The sequence below is a fragment of the Homo sapiens genome, chromosome 19 (genome assembly GCF_000001405.40).
Source record: "Homo sapiens chromosome 19, GRCh38.p14 Primary Assembly".
In the NCBI taxonomy this organism is placed as follows: Eukaryota; Metazoa; Chordata; class Mammalia; order Primates; family Hominidae; genus Homo; species Homo sapiens.
In genome coordinates, this window is record NC_000019.10 from 30,637,405 (window position 1) to 30,656,906 (window position 19,502).

The 19,502-nt window shown below is 43.7% G+C and overlaps 1 protein-coding gene across 31 annotated transcripts in view; it reads left to right on the top strand.

The window, feature by feature from the left end:
• Positions 1-19,502, top strand: part of ZNF536 (zinc finger protein 536) — a 487,995-nt gene that overhangs the window by 411,813 nt on the left and 56,680 nt on the right. Inside the window, exon 5 of one of the 31 annotated variants that reach the window (NM_001352260.2) lies at positions 6,133-6,172. The exons of the other annotated variants lie outside the window; for them this stretch is intronic. Coding sequence (NP_001339189.1) covers positions 6,133-6,146 — 14 coding nt within the window. The 3' untranslated portion in view covers positions 6,147-6,172. The remainder of the gene's footprint in view (positions 1-6,132; positions 6,173-19,502) is intronic. 31 annotated transcript variants of the gene reach the window in all.

Below are 19,502 nucleotides of genomic sequence, written 5' to 3' on the forward strand. Positions count from 1 at the left end.
GGCTGGTAATAACATCACACCCACCAACTCTTTCCAAAGAACTCTTCTATTTTGCAACTCTCTGCCTTTTCAAATTATACCCTTCTATAGACTCAAATTGGGTCTTGGCATGAGGTTGAGGACACTTGTTGGCCAGTCTTCATTCTCAATTTGGATAAAGCAAGCATTCATCCTTTACGCTTTGTGGTCAGACTTTTGGAGTTTCCATCTAAAGAGTAACAAAAGCACATATTTTAACATCCTTCTACCCTTGATGATCACATAGCTCTTCTTCCAATCCAAACCCAAATCTTTTTCTAGAGCATCACCCCTTTTTTCTCTTTTGAGATACTTGGCGAGAGTAGAGTTTATTAGTTTTGCACTTACAATAGCCCTTCTGGTACATAAACATTGATTGAGCTAGTTGCTTCTCACCTTGCTTTTCTGAGAAAGACTGTGTCTTTTTTTTATAGCAAGGGTTAGACAAAGGCAGCAAGGTATTTCGAGGGTTTTTTTGCAAAGCTGGTGTTATGTAGACAAAATAGATTGCCTCTGTACTTTGTCTTTTGCTCTGCTGTTGGATGTTTGGGACATCACAGCACAACCCAAACATCCTTGTGGCTTACTCATGGACCACCCAGAAGTAGTCGATGCAAGCCCTGAAAACTCTTTCCTGAATGTTCCAGTCTGCATCAAACAACCTGGTATCAGCTCCAGATCTGTTGTGTTGACACTGCTTCTGGTCTCTGGGAAACACTAAGGTCAAACTTGATGAAAGGGCAGAAAGCCAGGCCAGGGTGGCTGGTCTTTCTCAACCCAGACCTCTGATCCATTTTAGCATGTCTCTTCCATCAGTCGTAAGGACTTTTAAGGTCTTAACATCTCACACTGCTGTGTTAGTCTGTTCTAGATTTGCTATAAGTACCTAAGACTGGGTAATTTATAATGAAAAGAGTTTGAATTGGCTCACAGTCCTGTAGGCTGTACAGGAAGCATGATGTTGCATCTGCTCAGCTTCTGGGGAGGCCTCAGGAAACTTACAGTCATGGTGGAAGGTGAAGTGGGAGCCAGCACTTCACATGGCCTGAGCAGGAGGAAGCGTGAGAGGGGGGAAGTGCTATACACTTTTAAACAACCAGATCTCAGGATAACTTACTCACTGTCACAAGAACATTACCAAGGCAGGTAGTGCTAAAAACCATTCAAGAGAAATCTTCCCCCATGATCCAGTGACTTCCCACCAGGCCCCACCTCCAACATTTTACAATTCTCTACATCAGATTTGGGTGGGGACAGAGACCCAAACCATATCAACTGTTTAGTCTTCTGACTCACTGGGGAGAATTTGTCTGGGCTTCTGAGGGGATTGTAAGGTAGTCATGGGCCAGATTAGGACAAGAGCAAAACTTTATATATCTTTGCAGTCAAGAACAGGACACATTGCTGTATTATGCAAATGGAATCTTCTTCCAGCTAACTCTTTCTTGAAGTATTTCAAAACTGTCTAGCTCTGAATTTCAGATATTGTACTCTTAGTCTCACAATTTCCAGTTGATTTCTTTTGGCGATTCCCATTTTCTACCTAAACTCCTTATCTTGTCATCTATTTTCTTAAATATATCAGGTATAGTTATTCTAAAGTCTGTAACTCTAGAACTCAATATTTGTATCTTTGGTAGGCCTGATTACATTAGCTGTTGCCTGATTTTCTGTCTTTGTTTTTACTCATTTGGTCGTATTTCCTGGTGTTCCTGGTAATTTTTATCAAATGTCAGACATGGCGTATACAAATTTTAGAGATGCCTTTTGACTGTATGAGAACTGCCAAATAGGAATGTAATGTGAACCACCCACGTCATTTAAATTTTGTAGTAGCAACATTAAATAAGCATGAATACATAGTTAACTATTTTTAAGAACGTATTTTGTTGTATTTAACCTGGTGTACCCGAAGTATTATCATTTGAGCAGGTAACCAATATAAAGAGTATTAATGGGACATTTTACGTGTCTTTTTTGTACTAAGTCTTGGAAATCCAGTGAGTGTTTTACCCTCATAGCACTTCTCAATTCTGACAAAGCCCCATCCCAAGTTCCCAGTAGCCACATGGCCGTCAGCTACCCTGGCAGGCAGCACAGCTCTGGATGGTGTTATCTTCCTCTAGGGAGGATTTACTTTTGTTTCCAGTAGGCCATTAGGCTTGCGGAAGATCACCATAAGTCAATCAGAAATTGAGCAGATTTTAAGGATTTATTTCTTATCTGTTCTTACTCCTTCTTCTGCCCCTTTAGGGGTAACAAATAAGTGTGCGGGGTGCTTATCAGGAAACTTCTGCCTTACAAAGCCCTAGATTCTGGTGTTTATCTTCTTGGTCCCTTGGACTACGGATGTCTCTGCTTTGCTTCTCAGCATCTCGTTGGCTGCCATTTGTAAGTTCACAACTGTCTCAAGGGGAAAAGCAAAGTCAAAAGCAAGCCCAGCATTCTGTGCTCCTTCCTTTTTAGAATCTTGACCTGTCAAGTCTTGGCTCCTTTGATAACTCTATTACACCTTGAAATTATTTATATACTCACATACTGGCCAGGTGCTGTGGCTCACGCCTGTAATTCCAGCACTTTGGGAGGCCGAGATGGGCAGATCACCTGAGGTCAGGAGTTTGAGACCAGCCTGGCTAACACGGTGAAACCTCCATCACTACCAAAAAATACAAAAATTAGCTGGGCGTGGTGGCACGTGCCTGTAGTCCCAGCTACTTGGGAGGCTGAGGTGGAAGGATCACTTGAATCCGGGAGGCAGAGGTTGCAGTGAGCCAAGATCACGCCACTGCATTCCAGCCTGGGCAACAGAGTGAGAGTGAGACCCTGTCTCAAGAAAAAAAAAATTGGTTATATACACACAAATACGCACCACTGTTTTTTTCATGCAGCTTTTCTAGTTGTGCTCAATAAGACAGTTGATTTGTTACAGGCTCTTTTACTATAGCCAGAAGTAGAAGTAAAATAACGTCTTAAATAACTAAAACCAGATTTTCCTCCCCTGTTTGGCAATCAGCACTGTTTCAGCCTTTGAGAGAAAACTTATTTCTTTACTTCTGACTCAGCACACCAAAATCTCTGGGGAAGAAGATTATCTCCCCAGTTCTAAGGACTGGCAAATTGAGGTATCGTAAGATTGTGCCTCGCAAGAGTCAGGCCCAAGATCCTCCAGGCTTCTCCCTGCACCGTCTTACCAGCCTGCAAGGCAGGGAGGTTTGCTGACCTGGTGTTTGTACTGGTAGCTCCTGAATATCCCTCTGTGCAGGCACAGGCACTCCATATCCTATATGAAGTGGTAGCAGTGGCCATCATTCCAGGCAAGCTTACAGTTTCACAGAGATCAGAGGCACATTCAAAGGACATTCATTTCTTATGCAGCATTTACTAAGATGTTGTCTTATACCAGACCTGGGCTAGGGCCTCGTGTCAGCAGCAGAATGCCGTCATTCACAGCCCTGCTGTTGGGGAGCACGTCTCCTGGGGCACATCCTGGTTTGGTATGAAGGCCCTGTCTGGGACATAGACACAGAATGCTGTGGACACATGAAAACCCTATGCAGCTGTACACATTCCCACCTGCGTAAGTCTCTAGTTCAGCTTCAGTACCGCTTAGTTATCTCTGGATCAGCAGCTAAGGCCTTATAATATTTCAAGTATAAAATATTTAAATAAAACATTTTACCATGTTCGTGAGATAAAATCTTTAGCATTAATAGAAATTTTACTTTTTCACAAAAAATGGAAGTTAACTGAAGCTTACTTTTAATATACTACATTTAACCCAATCTGTTTTACTTCTCAAAAAAGAAATCAACCTGTGTTTTCTTGAAAGAAAAGCAAATTCTATTTTTTTCTGTTCTGATTATTTAAAAAATAGAAAAAACTCCCAGACATTGCTTACTGCATGAAGAATGCCACAGTTTTAGTTTATCTCCTTTCAGCTTTCTTCCTGTGCCTAGCTTTTATGGAATTGTAATCTTGCTGTCATATGATTTCTGCATGTCATATACATGTAATATATATGTGTAGTATGAAATTTTTTCTCATGTTATTAAAACGTATATGTATAAACGTATGGCTACACTAAAATATCATTATATAGTTATTTACCCTATTGTTGAATATGTCGACTGTTTCCAATGTTTTTATTATTACAAATATAATACAGGGAATGTCTTTGAACATAAAGGCAGCTCCTCTTATTCCATCTTCACCCTCGTGCTTTAGAGTATTTCTCTAGGGAAGACCACCAGAAATGGAATTACTGCATCAAAGCAATGAAATATTTATATCCTTTTTCACTTAATTTTAAACCTCAGATTTACTCCTCAATGGGAGGTCACTTCCCGCCAAATCTCAAATCCAAGACAGGAATTAGGGGCTTCTCTTGGCCGGGATGTAATGCCTGTCCCAAGATGAGGAGACCTAGAGGATGGCAGTAGAGTGGGGCAAGTCCTTGAAGGTGTTTGAGGGGTTGGTTGTGGATGGAAAAGCGACTCTGATTGCAAAGCCAAGGATAATAGTACGAGCCAAAGGAAAGCCTATTTAATGAGATTGGCCATGCACTTGCAGGAAAACCTTTTGAGAAAAAAGCACAGCAAAGTTTGCGGGACCACCTCCCTCTGCAATGGCTGTGTTGATGGGGGCCATTGCTGATATGGCGTGGGTGTTGGATTTTGGGAACCGAATCCTATTTTAGATGCATTGTGAGCTGAATCCTATTTTAGATTGACTCATGTAAGGAACCCCGTGGTGACTCTATAAATCAGAAAGTTCGTTTGCATTGCAAATCGCCCTTTCCTAAGTAATCTTCAGCTCCTTAATTTTACAAATTGTATATTGGAAATCTTTTATTTCTGTATATTGGTTGTTGCAAAGTACACTTGGAGGACACTTGGGGCCCATTTCAACCAGGGGGTTTGAGGGTCTTGTTGCAGGAAAGTTCTTCTAGTCAATCCTTCCCTGGGGGTTGACAGTCTGTCCTCCATCTCTGGTGGACAGCTGATGGCATTTGCCTTCCAGGTTAAGCCCCAGTGAGAAAGTCACTGCCAGGACCCGCAAGTTGAAGGAGGAATGGACCTCAAAAGCTTCAGAGGGGACTGAAATGTGTTGGCTGATTAGAAGGTAGAAGGTCAGAGAGACTAGAGAAAACTCAAGGCGTGAGCTGAGCCTCGGGCTGTCATTACGGAGAGGAGGCTGAAGTTTCAGAAGGAAATTTTGATCATCAGAAGTGCCTGCAGGAGGTCCTCGACTCTAGCAACAGATTAGATCCCACTGAGAAAGGAGAGACTGTTGTGCTGCAGACCGGTTGTCCAGATGGGTTTCAGGAGATGATGCAAAGGCTCTGTCTGAGGGTGAGATGGATGAGTCAGTCAGTGCCTTCTTTGAGTGGATCAAATATCGGTAGACTTGGATCTCTTTGTCCTGAGCACCTGAGTGAAAGAGGCTGTGTGGGGGGTGAGAGCCCAGCTCCCTGAGGGACACAACTGAGGTGTCTGTCTAACAATGGCCTCAGCACTGAGGCTTTCTTTTAGCCTTTTATGTCAACACCAAAAGTCATGGAGCTGGGCCTTAGAAACATTGTTCAAAAGTCATATCTTAAGTTATGACCCGTCTTGAAGTATTTATAACTGATTGGATTTCATAAGTAAAGCCAGATTTGCATAAATTAATAAAATATTTCACCAGGTAGCATCCTTTCCCAAGTTATTGGGGATCCTGTGGTGGGGGAACGGGTGCTTCTTCTCCTGCTGGGTTCATGAATCTATCCATTCCACTGGGACTGTGTCCTCCATCCCAGCCTTGGCTGCTGAAAATTGTGCTAAAATGTCACTGAACTTTGCAAGTTACTTAATTTGCTGGGGTATTACTTAAATCTCCAAACCTAATTGGAGGTGGATGTGAGAGAAACACACTAAGACCCACACTCGACTTGGGAAGATTTGGAAAGAGTCCCATGATGTCACGTCCCTGCTGGGGCTTGGTGGAACATTTATACAAGTATCAGTAATTATTTAACAATCACCTTGTCCTAAACTTTTATACCATTTATACAGTGTTTAATGTACATTGATTTCTTCATTTTACATGTAGTAATTAATTTTGTCTTACTGACAGATGATTCTCAATGACTGATTTCAAGACACATTCCGGACAGGTACTTTTTAACGCTTCGTTTTGCTTCAAAAAGCCTTATTCTACTCTGGGGTTCTGCCAGCTATCGCAAAGCAATTTCTGCAGGGGGGGGTTTTGGGGCACCAACCTGTGTGGAAGCATGGAGGTGGGAGGTGAGTTTTCACGTACATTGTATGTTCACTTAGGGTAGCTTTGGGTGGAAGATTGGGAGTTGCGTTGGGGGGTGGTGCTTACATCTCCCCCAGTTAACCCTTTTCTCCTCTTAGTGAATATTGCTTTAGGCCATGCTTGAGTGAACTCCAGGGTATTAGAAAAAGATTTCTTTGCTTTAGAAAGCAAAGTAGAAATTCCCAAATTCAATTTGAATCAAAAATTGGGGGGAAGTGATAGAATGAACCAAATTGAAAGGCAAACATTTTTTGTTATTGATTTCACGTTTCGATCTCTGTTACATGTGTTGTAAATGTCATCTATCCCAAGGTGAAAGCTTCAGAGACAAGTGTTTAAAATGGCAGTGGAGCCACAGATAACAAGTGAGCTCTGTGGTTTAACTTTACTTGTTCAAGAAGTGCTTGTCCACTTCAGTTGTCCCTGGGAGATGTTGGAAGAGGGATCTGCAGTCAAAACACAGTGGGGTGCATTTTGATCTGCTATGCTTAGCTGTTTCTCTTTATATGTATATTTTTAAAAATTTCCTCCTTCCTTTCATTCTTAGTTTGTAATCTCTAAGCATGAATTCATAACGATTTGGTTTAAAGTATGTACGTCTCCAGAGTTAAAATGGAGAGAAAGCCTATAGTGGACATTTCTTTCTTTTTTTTTTAATTATACTTTAAGTTTTAGGGTACATGTGCACAACATGCAGGTTAGTTACATATGTATACATGTGCCATGCTGGTGTGCTGCACCCAGTAACTCGTCATTTAGCATTAGGTATATCTCCAAATGCTATCCCTCCCCCATCCTCCCACCCCACAACAGGCCTCGGTGTGTGATGTTCCCCTTCCTGTGTCCATGTGTTCTCATTGTTCAATTCCCACCTATGAGTGAGAACATGCGGTGTTTGGTTTTTTGTCCTTGCGATAGTTTGCTGAGAATGATGGTTTCCAGCTTCATCCATGTCCCTACAAAAGACATGAACTCATCCTTTTTTATGGCTGCACAGTATTCTATGGTGTATATGTGCCACATTTTCTTAATCCAGCCTTTTATTTGTTGGACATTTGGGTTGGTTCCAAGTCTTTCCTATTGTGAATAGTGCCTCAATAAACATACGTGTGCATGTGTTTTTATAGCAGTGTGATTTATAATCCTTTGGGTATATACCCAGTAATGGGATGGCTGGGTCAAATGGTATTTCTAGTTCTAGATCCCTGAGGAATCGCCACACTGACTTCCACAATGGTTGAACTAGCTTACAGTCCCACCAACAGTGTAAAAGTGTTCCTATTTCTCCATATCTTCTCCAGCACCTGTTGTTTCCTGACTTTTTAATGATGGTCGTTCTAACTGGTGTGAGATGGTATCTCATTGTGGTTTTGATTTGCATTTCTCTGATGGCCAGTGATGTTGAGCATTTTTTCATGTGTCTTTTGCCTGCATAAATGTCTTCTTTTGAGAAATGTCTGTTCATATCCTTTGCCCACTTTTTGATGGGGTTGTTTGTTTTTTTCTTGTAAATTTGTTGGAGTTCATTGTAGATTCTGGATATTAGCCCTTTGTCAGGTGAGTAGATTGCAAAAATTTTCTCCCATTCTGTAGGTTGCCTGTTCACTCTGATGGTAGTTTCTTTTGCTGTGCAGAAGCTCTTTAGTCTAATTAGATCCCATTTGTCAATTTTGGCTTTTGCTGCCATTGCTTTTGGTGGCATTTCTTTAAAAAAATTTTTTTGGGGGGAATCAATGCCTTGGTGCCTTAGCATCAGAGGATATGACTATTATAGGACACTCCTGTTATTATTAATGAGGAGGACATGTATCCTTCATTTTGCAACTTTTCATCCTCAGTGACCTTTTAAATATGGAAACTGTTGAAGTCACATTTTAATATTAATGAATGATGTAAAAGGTAAATGAAGTTCAAATTATTCTAATACTTGCATGTTAGGATCTGTGTCTATATCCATATCTTCTCCACAGGCTTGTCATAACTTTATAAGTGTCAAAGGGATTTGAGTGTGAAGCCCCACAGATGAGGGCCGTCTGCTAGTGGCTGCAGCCCACTTAGCGGATGGCGCCACCCTGCAGCAGGGAGCTTCCCATCTAGACACATATGTTCTGATGCTTTTGGTCATTATTCTGACCTAGACATTCACCAAGAATGAAGAAACTATTCGTTTGGCGAACAACACGTCTGCATTTTGGGAAAGTTCGCCATGCCGTTGCCCAGCCTGGCTTCTTGCTGGATAAGCTTTGGGTTGGAGCCCTGAGGACAGCAGGTCTCAGATCTAGTCACCGTCTTCTCCAGCCTCCTGCTACTGCATTCTGTAGCTCTGTCTCCAAGTGCAAGAGTTTGGCCCCTTTGGGGATTTCTGCCATTATTTTTTCAGAGAAGGTATTCAGCTCTGGTTTGGCTTGTAGCAACAAAGGTCTTTTTGTGTCTCACGATTCCTCTCCCCTCTGCCTCTTCTTTCATCCCTGTGGCATCTATTATTACCGTAATGTGACTAAGGGGGCCTTTCCCCCTGTCATGTGCCTCCCCAACTGTCCTGGTGGAAAATAGTATGTTCTTTTTTCCTTTACATCCATCATTTCCACCTAAGCACAGTATAGCAGCCTCTGGGGAAAGAAGCTTGAGCCTGCGCACACATGTTCACGACTGTGTGTACACGTGTCTAGGAGCACGAATGTGCACAATGTGTGTTTAGGCAGGAGTGCATCTTTGCAAGGTGTGAAGGTGTGCTCATGAATGTCCCTATGTAATGTGTGAATGTGTGCATGTGCGGGTGTGTGCGTGCTTCTGCATGAAGCCATCGGTGTGTACGTGTGGATGTGTGACTTTGCCGGTCAGTGGGCACAGCTGTTGATCACGCACTGTCCAGACCACAGTGCTTTAGCTCCTTCTAGACATTTTCTCCACCTTTATTTGTGTTAATTACTCAAGTGGCAATTAGTGGCTCTGCCCCCCTTTTGGTCGCAGTCTCGTAGTATTTGAGGGATGGTCATGTATTCATCATATTTCAATAAATCCTTTCCAATGTTATTGCCCTTGTTGTATCAACTGGCACCTGCCCTCCGACGTTACACCTGCAGGAGAATTCCACCACGTTTGGGCGCATTTCCGAAGCAAGGCTATTGATGTTGTATGTTTAAAAAAATTAATTAAAAAAACTCAGATCTCGGGAAATTCCAGCAGTCAGTCTCCTTTTTTTATCCTAATCTCTTCATAGTAATGCTCACAAGTACCCTTGGTCCAGACAATTCTTCATTCATTCTCCACCCCCCACCACACTCACACCCAAACTCCCCACCGCTGGAGATTAGTCCTTTGTGAGTCAGTGCACAAAAGCTTTCTTAAAGTCCCAGTAAATTATACCCCTGGTTTCCCTCTTGAATTCCTTTTTGTTACTTTTTCAAAATATTCTATTAGTTTTGTTACGTATGATCTCCCTTTTGTGAATCCATGCTGAATATCTTTAATTAAATCATAACTTTCCCTATTTTGTCCCTGATTAGTGTTTCCAATATCTTCCCCACTGCTCAAGTCAAGCTTACTGGTGTTTAATTTCTTTGATCTCCCTTTGAGTCGTTATTAAATATAGGTGTTGCATAAGGGCTCTTGGCCACTGGTGCTTCTCCCGTTTCCCTGGGTGTTTTTAAAAGGTATTTGCTAACCGTTCCCCTGTTTCCTTGCCTCTTCTTGCACAAATTCTAAGATGGTTCCCATCTGCTCCCGGAGTTATCAGTCCTTAGACACTCTAATTTCTTTCTCACCTGTTCTGCTACTAGGCTGATTTCCTTCAGAAATATTTTCCTCTCCCTGGGAAATGCTTGTCTGTTGCTGGCATCTGCTTTCGTCTTCCCTTTATGGACATGAAAGCAAATAATTTATTTTTCATTTTCTCTAGAAGTTGTCATCCCTCCTTCCAATCAACTATGTTCTATGTATGCCTCCTTGTGTTTTTTAAAAGAGCATTATAAACCCAGTTCCAGCACCTCCTTGCTAAGACCCCAATTTGGAAGTGGTATTTCCTTTCCAAAGGGTTGATAGCATCACCAACTTTTAATCTGGGGCAGGGAGTGCTGACCCTTTGCTAGCGAAACTGTTTTGGATGCCCCCAGCTGTCCTACAGCAAGCAGCATGAAGTCTTGAGGCTTCCCTGACAACCGGTACAAGAGGGACCTGGCCCCATCTCCGGGTTTTAGGGAGTTGTGAAGTTTCCCACGTGTCGCTTTGGAAATCTCTCATATGAAGTCAGCTTCAGCCAGGAAGCTTGCCTTCACTTTTCTTCTGCTCAGTGCCTCCAATTTTCCTCACACCTGAGGGATGCATCGGTTCTCCTATGGCTCGCTCCCCTTCAGGCTGTACTGTGGGCTCATCCTCAGATGGAATTTCCTTCCTTTTCTGCCTGTGTTCCCAGAACACAGACTAAAAAGGGCTGCTCCATGCAGAAGGTGCACACCCACGGGCTTTCAGATGCTCTTAGCTGCAGGTGCCCTGTCAAGGGGCTGGGCCCACAAGAAGCGGTTCCGAGTCCCCAACCTGCGGCCGCGTGGAAGCCTCCTCAGATAGCACTGTTCCTCTCAGCTTGACCTCATTTCCTTTTCCAGTACAACCCAGATCTGCGTGCTGAGACATCACTCTCAGGTTGTAAATTCTACACCAAATCAAAAGGCCAAATCCTTTCTGCAAACCCACAGGCGCTCGACCTACATCACACCAAGGAGCCTGGCCCCGATGGCTATCTCAGGACCCCTGGGCAGGGGCAGCAGAGGTGTGAGCCCCCACCCCTCCAGCACCAGCTACTGGCCTTCTGCAGGACAGCAACTTCCCCGGATCAAGTGGCAGAAACAGCATCAGCCAACGTTTCCACAGAGTATGAGTCATAAATAGTCCTTTTCACATTGTTTCACATCAAAAGGCAAGCAGCCTGTGCTGTTCCCCGTCCCTCATCCCTAACATAGAAGTGCGTGAAATTTGCCCACAAACAAGGATTTGAAATTTTAAAAGCTCAATAAAGGTAGTCAATAGACACACTCCAGTCAGTTTTTAAAAAGTGTTTTTAATTGGGTCAAATAGCATGTTACTTTGGGGAAAAATAAAGATCATTTAAACTGGTTCTTTTAGTTCACATGTTTTTGAAAACTGATTTTCTGGTGCAGACCTAGTTCGAAATATCATCCGGAAGTGCTGATGATAAACGGGTGGGCCCAGGGTTCCCTCTGAACTTTAGGGGGTTCTTCTTCACTGTTTCTCCGACCACTGTTTCTTCACTGAAAGAGTCTATAGTCTCTTCACTTCAGGGCGATGGGGTAGGACGGCTGGGGTCCTGATTCCATAGTTAACCAGGATCAACCCTGGGTCTTGAGCCACCTCACTGTATGCCCGACAGCTGCCCCAGACAGGGAGGACAGTCCTCTGTCAGCCTCTGAGCAATGTTCCAGAAGCAATTTATAGATGGACTTGGTGAGCAAAAAGTGAGAGTCACAGGTGCTTCATAATAATTGCTTGCACATTTCCAGAATCGGACATTCTGTCATTTAATAGACCTAAAACTAAAAAGCTTTTGTCTGTGAAAGGTGACCAGTAGAAACAGCGTTTGGATTATATGATATCCCATAACTTAATCATATGGCTCTTAACAGGGGGACATACACAGCTGTGTCTCACTAATATGCATGCAATATGTGTAAACTGATACGCTTTAATTCTAAACTTGTTTTTAGCAGGAAGAAAAAAGCATTTAGATGAGGAACATTAAGATTCAATATTAACCATTTTTTCCCCTTTGGGCAAAATTATTCATCACTTGATATTTATTAAAGCAGCATTTTCCTTTTTTTTTTTTTTTTTTGCTATTGTGAGATGCATCCTGCTACTGATTTTCCAAACATCCTCAAAGTTATGTGGCAAAGTGAAAAAGACACAGGAACAGCCAGTAGCCCCTTTGGGGTCACAGGAAAACAATAGACTTGAAAGATACACACTTGTTCTTTTGAAGCCCGAGAGTCATCCTAACCCCTAGGACCTAGTGACAGGGGCAAAGTTGGAGTAATTAATTTAGAAGGGGGCTGACTGGTTTTCCACCTCTCCAATTACACATATTTGATTTGCCTATCCTGTCTGACGTTTTAATTGTTAGTTTATACTGGTTTAATCTGAAATATTTAAGTATATTTGCTTTGATAATCTTAACTAAAAAAAAAAACTAAGACAAAGGAATTGTAGATTAGAGACTTTATTTTCAGGGCAAAATGATACGGGTAAGTGAACATCAACTGACCAGAAATTATTTGCTTCTGTCTGTTAGACACGTAATGGAGTCATTTAACTAGTCAAATTAGGAGCTGCAGAAATGCACCATGCTTCATTACTGAGTTCGAATGGGCACCATTTTACATTTACGTCAAAAATTATCTCATAGCAAATTAATGTTTTCATTGTGCAGAAAGGCTGAAGCTATGCAGTGTTAGCGGCACCTAGAGGCCATTGCGAAAATACTTCAAAGGGATGATCTGCAAACAAGGACAAAATGATCAATAGATGAGTGGTGGTGGTGAGAGCCCTGACCCCGTTTGAAAGTAAGAGTAGTCATTGAATCAGATTGGCTCTCTTGGTGACCATATGAAGCTCTGAGGGGCCATGACGGTTTTCCTAAACTTGGCCTAGAACTAAATGTGCTGAAAGAGCCCCAAAGATTTCTCTCCTTTTCTTGTTACTCTTTAAGTCCTGAAAATATCTGTTTTTGTTTTGTTTTGCTTTGTTTTCACAGTTTGAGTTTGCTTTTTCTTTTACCTATGGGCTTACATTATATCAGAATCTCATATGTTAGCCGATGAGCATTTCTGTAAATAAGCAAGGAGAGATTTTTTTTCCTCCCACATTGTAAATTGGCATCCTTAGAATCTTTCTTTTGTCATTGGTAAAAACTTGCTGTCCGTAGAAAGAGGCAACACATGACACTGTTTCATCTTAAAAAATACTGAACTGGGTAAATCCTCCATCCAAACAGATGACCAAGGTTGGTTGTTGTCCCAAGAATGTCAATCTCTGCTCAATTTAGCGAGAAATCATGTTAAATGAAATGGCAAAGCCCTCACCAATGAAAATATGTGTTAAAATGATCTGCAAGTCGTCAGTGACGCTGGGACGTTGGAGCATACTGTCAGAGCAGAAGCAAAGGAGAGAATGGAAGCATATAAATAGCATTGAGAACTCGAGAATATTTCAAGACAATATTGATGTCTAAAATATATGTGAATGACTGCATAATGATCGAGGCAGACATAATTCAAAGTACAGTCAGAATCTGGCCTCCAACTCAGAGCTTTAAATTCTCCAAAAGACATCTGTTTGCTGAGAAAGCCTCACCAACAGCTGCGCCACATAAAGGGGAGAACCCGGGATAAGGTTGGGAGTTGGCAGGTAGGGGAGCCTCAGAGGGGTTAGGTGGGGTCCTGGAGGGCGGGCGCCCACCTTCACTCCACAGGTACCGGAAGCGGGGCTGCTTTGGACAAAGGCGAGGGAGGTGCCTGTATTTCCTAGAACCAGGTAGCAAATGTTGCCTGTGTGTTTCATCAGAAAGCGCCCCAGTTGGGCACTGTGCCTCTTGGATGCTGACAAGAAGATTTGACGTTACTTCTCTGGTCCTTAACTTTGTTTACCCAGCTGCTATTCTTCCCATACTTAACTCTTTCACCGTGCAGAAAGCAAGGGGGAGGGAGGAAGGGAAGCTCCAGGTGTGATTTTTCAGAACAAAATATAATGCTGTGATTTATTTTTAAAAAAGAGAATAAGCACGAGGAAATTGAATAGCATCCATTTCATGCTTAACCGTGGTTCACAAATGATAGTTTGTAATTAAAATTCTGTCTGCAAACCTATTCTGCAGACCCCAAAAGAAAACTTCCTCAGAATGTTATCAACTCTCCAATTTCTGTAAAGATGCCATATTTTCAGATTTCAAAGAGAGGATCTCCTTTTGAAAATAAAGAATTGTTGGGTATCGTATGAGCCTGCTAAGTACAGCATTTTAAACCCACACTGTGTTGAAAAATTCAAGAATTTGGCAGTGACCTTAAGGCCACAGATAGGATAATGAAAAATGAGGCGATGAGGGCAGTGTCTAAAGGAACTACTCTTTTGTTCTAACAGAAGCTTTGTGTGTGTGTGGCTTAAGCAAGTGGTTCAATAGAATTTCTTTGAAACAGAAACAAAAATGCTAAGAGCTGGTTACAAGTACTCTGGTCTTCTTTTCTCCTTAAAATGCAGGAAGAATTTTTACCTCTTCTCATGAATCTTGTCTGCTGAAATGTCTCAGTCTTCATGTTATGTTTACCAAGGCCAGGCCAGAGGATCTGATAATTTATAACCATTCCTATTGGGTTTTATGTAATAACTTTGGAACTCATATAAAGTAATGATCCACAAACTCTTTTAATGTTCATTATAAAATATGAAATATTTCTCAGAACCATTGCAATTATGTGACCAGACATAACTGTTTCACACATGAGTAAATACAGGGAGGTTTAACATAACTTTATTATCTTGCTGTCTTTTCTTCTCATTGATGTGATAATACTGTTTTAATATTTTTCTAAAGAAAAGTTAAGTAATTTTAGAATCTCTACTGAGGCCCGCTTTATTGGCTTTTGTAATAGAACTCTCAAATCTAATTGTATTTATGCTCAGACTGACACCACTAAATGTCGTGAATGGAAGGGAAATGCCCCCCAAAGCTGTGTATTCTGTAATTATCGATAGATGTGTCTCTGCTGACGAGGCCTGGGGATCTGGGGAGAGTCACGCAAGTAAAGCTGAGATGGCAGCAGGCATTTCCACCGTCATCCTGAGGCCCCCATGGATGCAGAGAGGTGCTTTTCTAAGGAGTGAATGAGCCCCGTCATTCTGTAGGACTCACCAGGAAACTTTTCCCCCTTTACTGTGTGTGCTGTGTCTGCCTCTCCTGGGTCTGGAGTCAGTAGCATGCAACTTCTAGTTTCGTAGAAGGCTGATCTCCGAAGGGAATTTTCCTGGGCTTCCTGTCCTAGTGATCTGAGCTGAGTGGCATTGTTCCGGTTGCTTGACCTTCACCTGGGGCGTGGGCTTGGGGTCATCCCTGGTGGCTGTAAAGTCTCCTGCAGCGATGGAAGCCAGAGAGGGATTATTCTGGAAACCCACTTCTTACTCCCCGTGTGGGCAGTGGAAGCTGTAACACCAAGGCGGGGAACCCAGTGACAGTGCTGCATCCACTCTCGATGCCCCGTCAGAATCCAGGATCCTCCCAGGACCGAATGGCGGCTATTTCTAGCCTAGTAAGGTTGGGTGGAAAAGATTAAACATGAGGGAAGGTGCCGTTATCTGGGCATTTCCAAGTCCTGGAGAGGAGAGAGGGTTTCACCATGCTTGACTCTTTTATCTTACTTGTTTTTAGACAAGTGTTTCTCAAAGTCTCATGTGCAACCAGATCCCCATGGATCTTGCTATGATGCAGATTCTGACTCAGTAGTTCTGGGGAGGACCCTCTATCCTGCCCTTCAGCTCCAGGGTCATGGCTGTGCTGCTGATCCAGAGACCACACATTAGATCTGGGTGTAGCATCTGTCTTCTCACTGCACATCTGCTTTCGGGGAGACAAGCAGACACAGGGCATGGAAGGTTAGGTGGGGCCCTCTGAGAGGCCTATGAGTGCAATGAAACTTGAAGAGTGGCCTGATGGCTGGAGCCAGCTCACAGTTGGGTTTTGTTTGACTTGTCCGATATTACACTTTTGCTTTCAATTGGTTGCACACAGTTTAAAAATGAAAGATTTTTTAAATTTACAAATCCAGGCTTTCAGGTTCTCTTGAAAAACTAGAATGTCTGGGACAAGAGATAGAAGAGAGGTGGGATCCGCTCCCTTAGGAGCAGAGGATGGAAGAGAGGTGGGAGCCACTCCCTTAGGAGCAGGGGACGGAAGAGAGGTGGGAGCCGCTCCCTTAGGAGCAGGTGATGGAAGAGAGGTGGGAGTCACTTCCTTAGGGAGGTGTGGCTCTTCCCTTCTCCGCCAAGGGGTCCCGCCCAGCCTGCCTTGCTCATAACACAAGAGTTTGCAGACAGGGAAGTTAGACCCCAGGAAAAGAGGGTCACTTCCCTGGCACACACAGGGCATGTGCAATGGTGGAGGCTGCGTGCCCCCCTGCTGCTGGCTCTTGTCTGGAGTTTGCTGGAATGGAGAACTCTTGCCCCATCAGAACCCAGGACTCACCTGCGTGCTTTAGCTCTGCCTTCTGGCAAGTGCCATCTTCCTCTTTGAGGAGCTGTTCCTTAGCTCTCTAGTTCTCACAAGCAAGCCACTAGAGAGGGTGCAATTCCCAGCTAATTAAAGGTCTTGAGATCCTCCCCTCCCTGTCGCCGACGCTCCTTTGAAACAAGCGGGCTGCATAAGAAGTCTCCCTGGCTGCTACCTGGCAGCAGGTGTGAGCCAAGGGCTGGTGCCCAGGCTGCGTGGGGCCCAGTGGGGAGGGAGCCTGACCTTCACCTAGGTACATCCAACAGGTGTGACCGCCCGGCATAGTAATCACCCAGTTCCTAGGTGGGCAGTATTGGGGATCATCACAAAATCTGGAATGTTCATTAGTGCATGAAATCATCTGATCATCTTCCCACTTGGCCCTCTTCACTCCTCACCACCCCCCTTATTCACCCCTCACCACCCCCCTTATTCACCCCATCCCCAGTCTCTCCTGGAAACTGGTGGGTTGCATTGGAGTCAGATGTGGCAAAACACAGCCTAAGTCAACATTCGTGGTTCCTAAAGCGAAAGAACTGTGGAATGCTTGTATTCAAAGATTTCTCCATGACTGCACCTGGTTGAGTGATGAAATAAAGGTGAAACCAAAAAGACCTTTCTGCTTCCCTGGGCGGTGGCTATCTAGGTCTTTAGTTCTTTTAACCGGGCGATTGTTGCTGTAATGGGTCTCAGTGCTACTGGGGCACTGACTGAGGCTTGTTTTTTTTCTCCATGAAGACCAGGAACCCAGTGCCCTGGAAGGCTGGTGGCTTAGGTAAATTTGAGGGCTGGGCTTGAGCCAGGCTCTGCTGAGCTCTACACTTCAGCTGTGTCTGCCACCCACCCCCCACACACCCCCCCATGCTGGGCAAAGCCACCGTGCTTACAGCGTTGACTTTCTTTATCCCCAAGCAGCATTCAGGGCTAACTTTTCAGAAATTTTTATTTCTGAATGCTGGTTAAAGGCAGGATCTTCTGCTGCCAAATTTCTCAAGCTGTCACCTGCACAGTGAACAAGTGAGGAGTGGCCTGAGGCACCTGGCTGTGCTCCTACAACGAAGCACTCTGTTCTTAGGGACTTTAGTACTGGGTACATCTAGGGAGTTAGGAGGACTCACAGGACACTCAGATTGACAGCTCTCAGCATTTGGCTGCTGGTTAAATAAATCTCACATGAGTTAAAATTTCTACATGTTCTCCCATTTACAAGACAGAGTAAAATCAGCACTTAATGGGTCTTGTAGAGTATTGCAATGACAGACTGCATAGGGGTAGCCGGGTGACTGCAAGAGCTTCCTGCTCTCTTCATCATCTTCTCAGAGAGCTTTGCTCATTTCTGTTTTTGAATGTGAATAAAAGAATCTATTACATATTACATTCAGAGAAAATGGTACGTGGTACCCAATTGTGGCCACATGCAAGGGGAATGCCATACTGAGAACCCAGCATGCTGATTGGTATAGGGAGCTGGAAGTCATTGAATGGGGAAGGGCTGGAAGAAACTGAGGGTGAACTCAGCCCTCACTTCAAAGGAGTTTGCCGTCAACTCAGAGAAATGGAGCTAAACCATGCAAGCTGCATTGCTACCCAAGACATGGGTGGGAAGGGAATGAGGTTGGGGAATAGGGCAGAATTGAGCTGGGCCTGCAAAGATGGGGAGGGTTTGGCTAAAACCTAGGATTTTACAGATTTATCCAAGGGAGGAATCTAGCAATGATCTCCTTTTGCTCTTTAGTGTCTTTTCCTCTGGCCGGTTAAAATTCCCTGTTCATGTTGGCTTGGTGGCTTACACCTGTAATCCCAGTGCTTTGGGAGGCTGAGGTGGGAGGATCACTTGAGCCTAGGAGTTCGAGACTAGCCTGGGCAACATAATGGGACCCTGTCTCTACAGAAAATGTAAAAATTAGCTGTGCGTAATGGTGCACACCTGTAGTCCCAGCTACCTGGGAGGCTGCAGTTGGAGGATCACTTGAGCCCAGGAGTTTGAGGCTGCAGTGAGCTGGGATTGCACCATTGCACTCCAGCCTTGGCAACAGAGCAAGACCGTGTTTCATAAAAAAAAAAACCAACAAACCCACTTTCATTGACATCTGCATGTATTTGAGAGGGCTCAAAAATGAGGCAAGTTTTTGCTTCTGCAGCAAGATGGAGTTCTAGAGTCCTGGAGACCTTCTCCTTGGTTCCTCTCCAGTGCTGTCCTTGGTGTTACTCAAAGGAACAATTGCCTGGTCTTCTGAATTGGGAACTACTTAGAATATAACAGCTGTGCTTTATATGATGAATTTAATTCTTTTCTAATGAATTTTATCAGACTGCTTTTTGGAGCACATACTGGAATATGGCAGTGCCGGACCATTTTCCATCATAAGAAAATAAATTAACTTAGGATTGTGAAATCACATTAAAACAATATGAAAACTCTGCCATGCTTTTGGTTATCCCCTTGGCTGGAGCACGTTGCACCATCTCTACCCTGCTGGAAACGCGCTGTCACTCTGTCTCCCTGTGCCCTGTGCAACGATGCTCATGGAACTGTTGGCTGTCAATGTTGTTGTGTGTACAACCGGAGCAGTGAGGTTAGTTCCTCTGCAGCACACTCTCCAGAGAGTCAAAGGATGTCATTCCCTTCTCGGCAGGGACGCAATCATACATCTGCTCTCTGGTCTGTGACACCTCACTGTCTACTTTGGCTGTGTCCCTGGGCAGCAATGCCTGTCATCATTTTATGAGGCACAACAGAAAGCCTGGTTCACTCCTGACACTGCGGGACAGGCAAGGCCACCAAGCCAGTGTCATTAGGTGCCCCTGGACTTGGAGGGCCTCATTCTGATGTTTCTGCTCTGCACGGGGTCAGTCTGAACCATGGAAATCGCAGGGGAGATGCGAGGGCTGGGAGCATGGCCTGATTGGAAATTGAGAA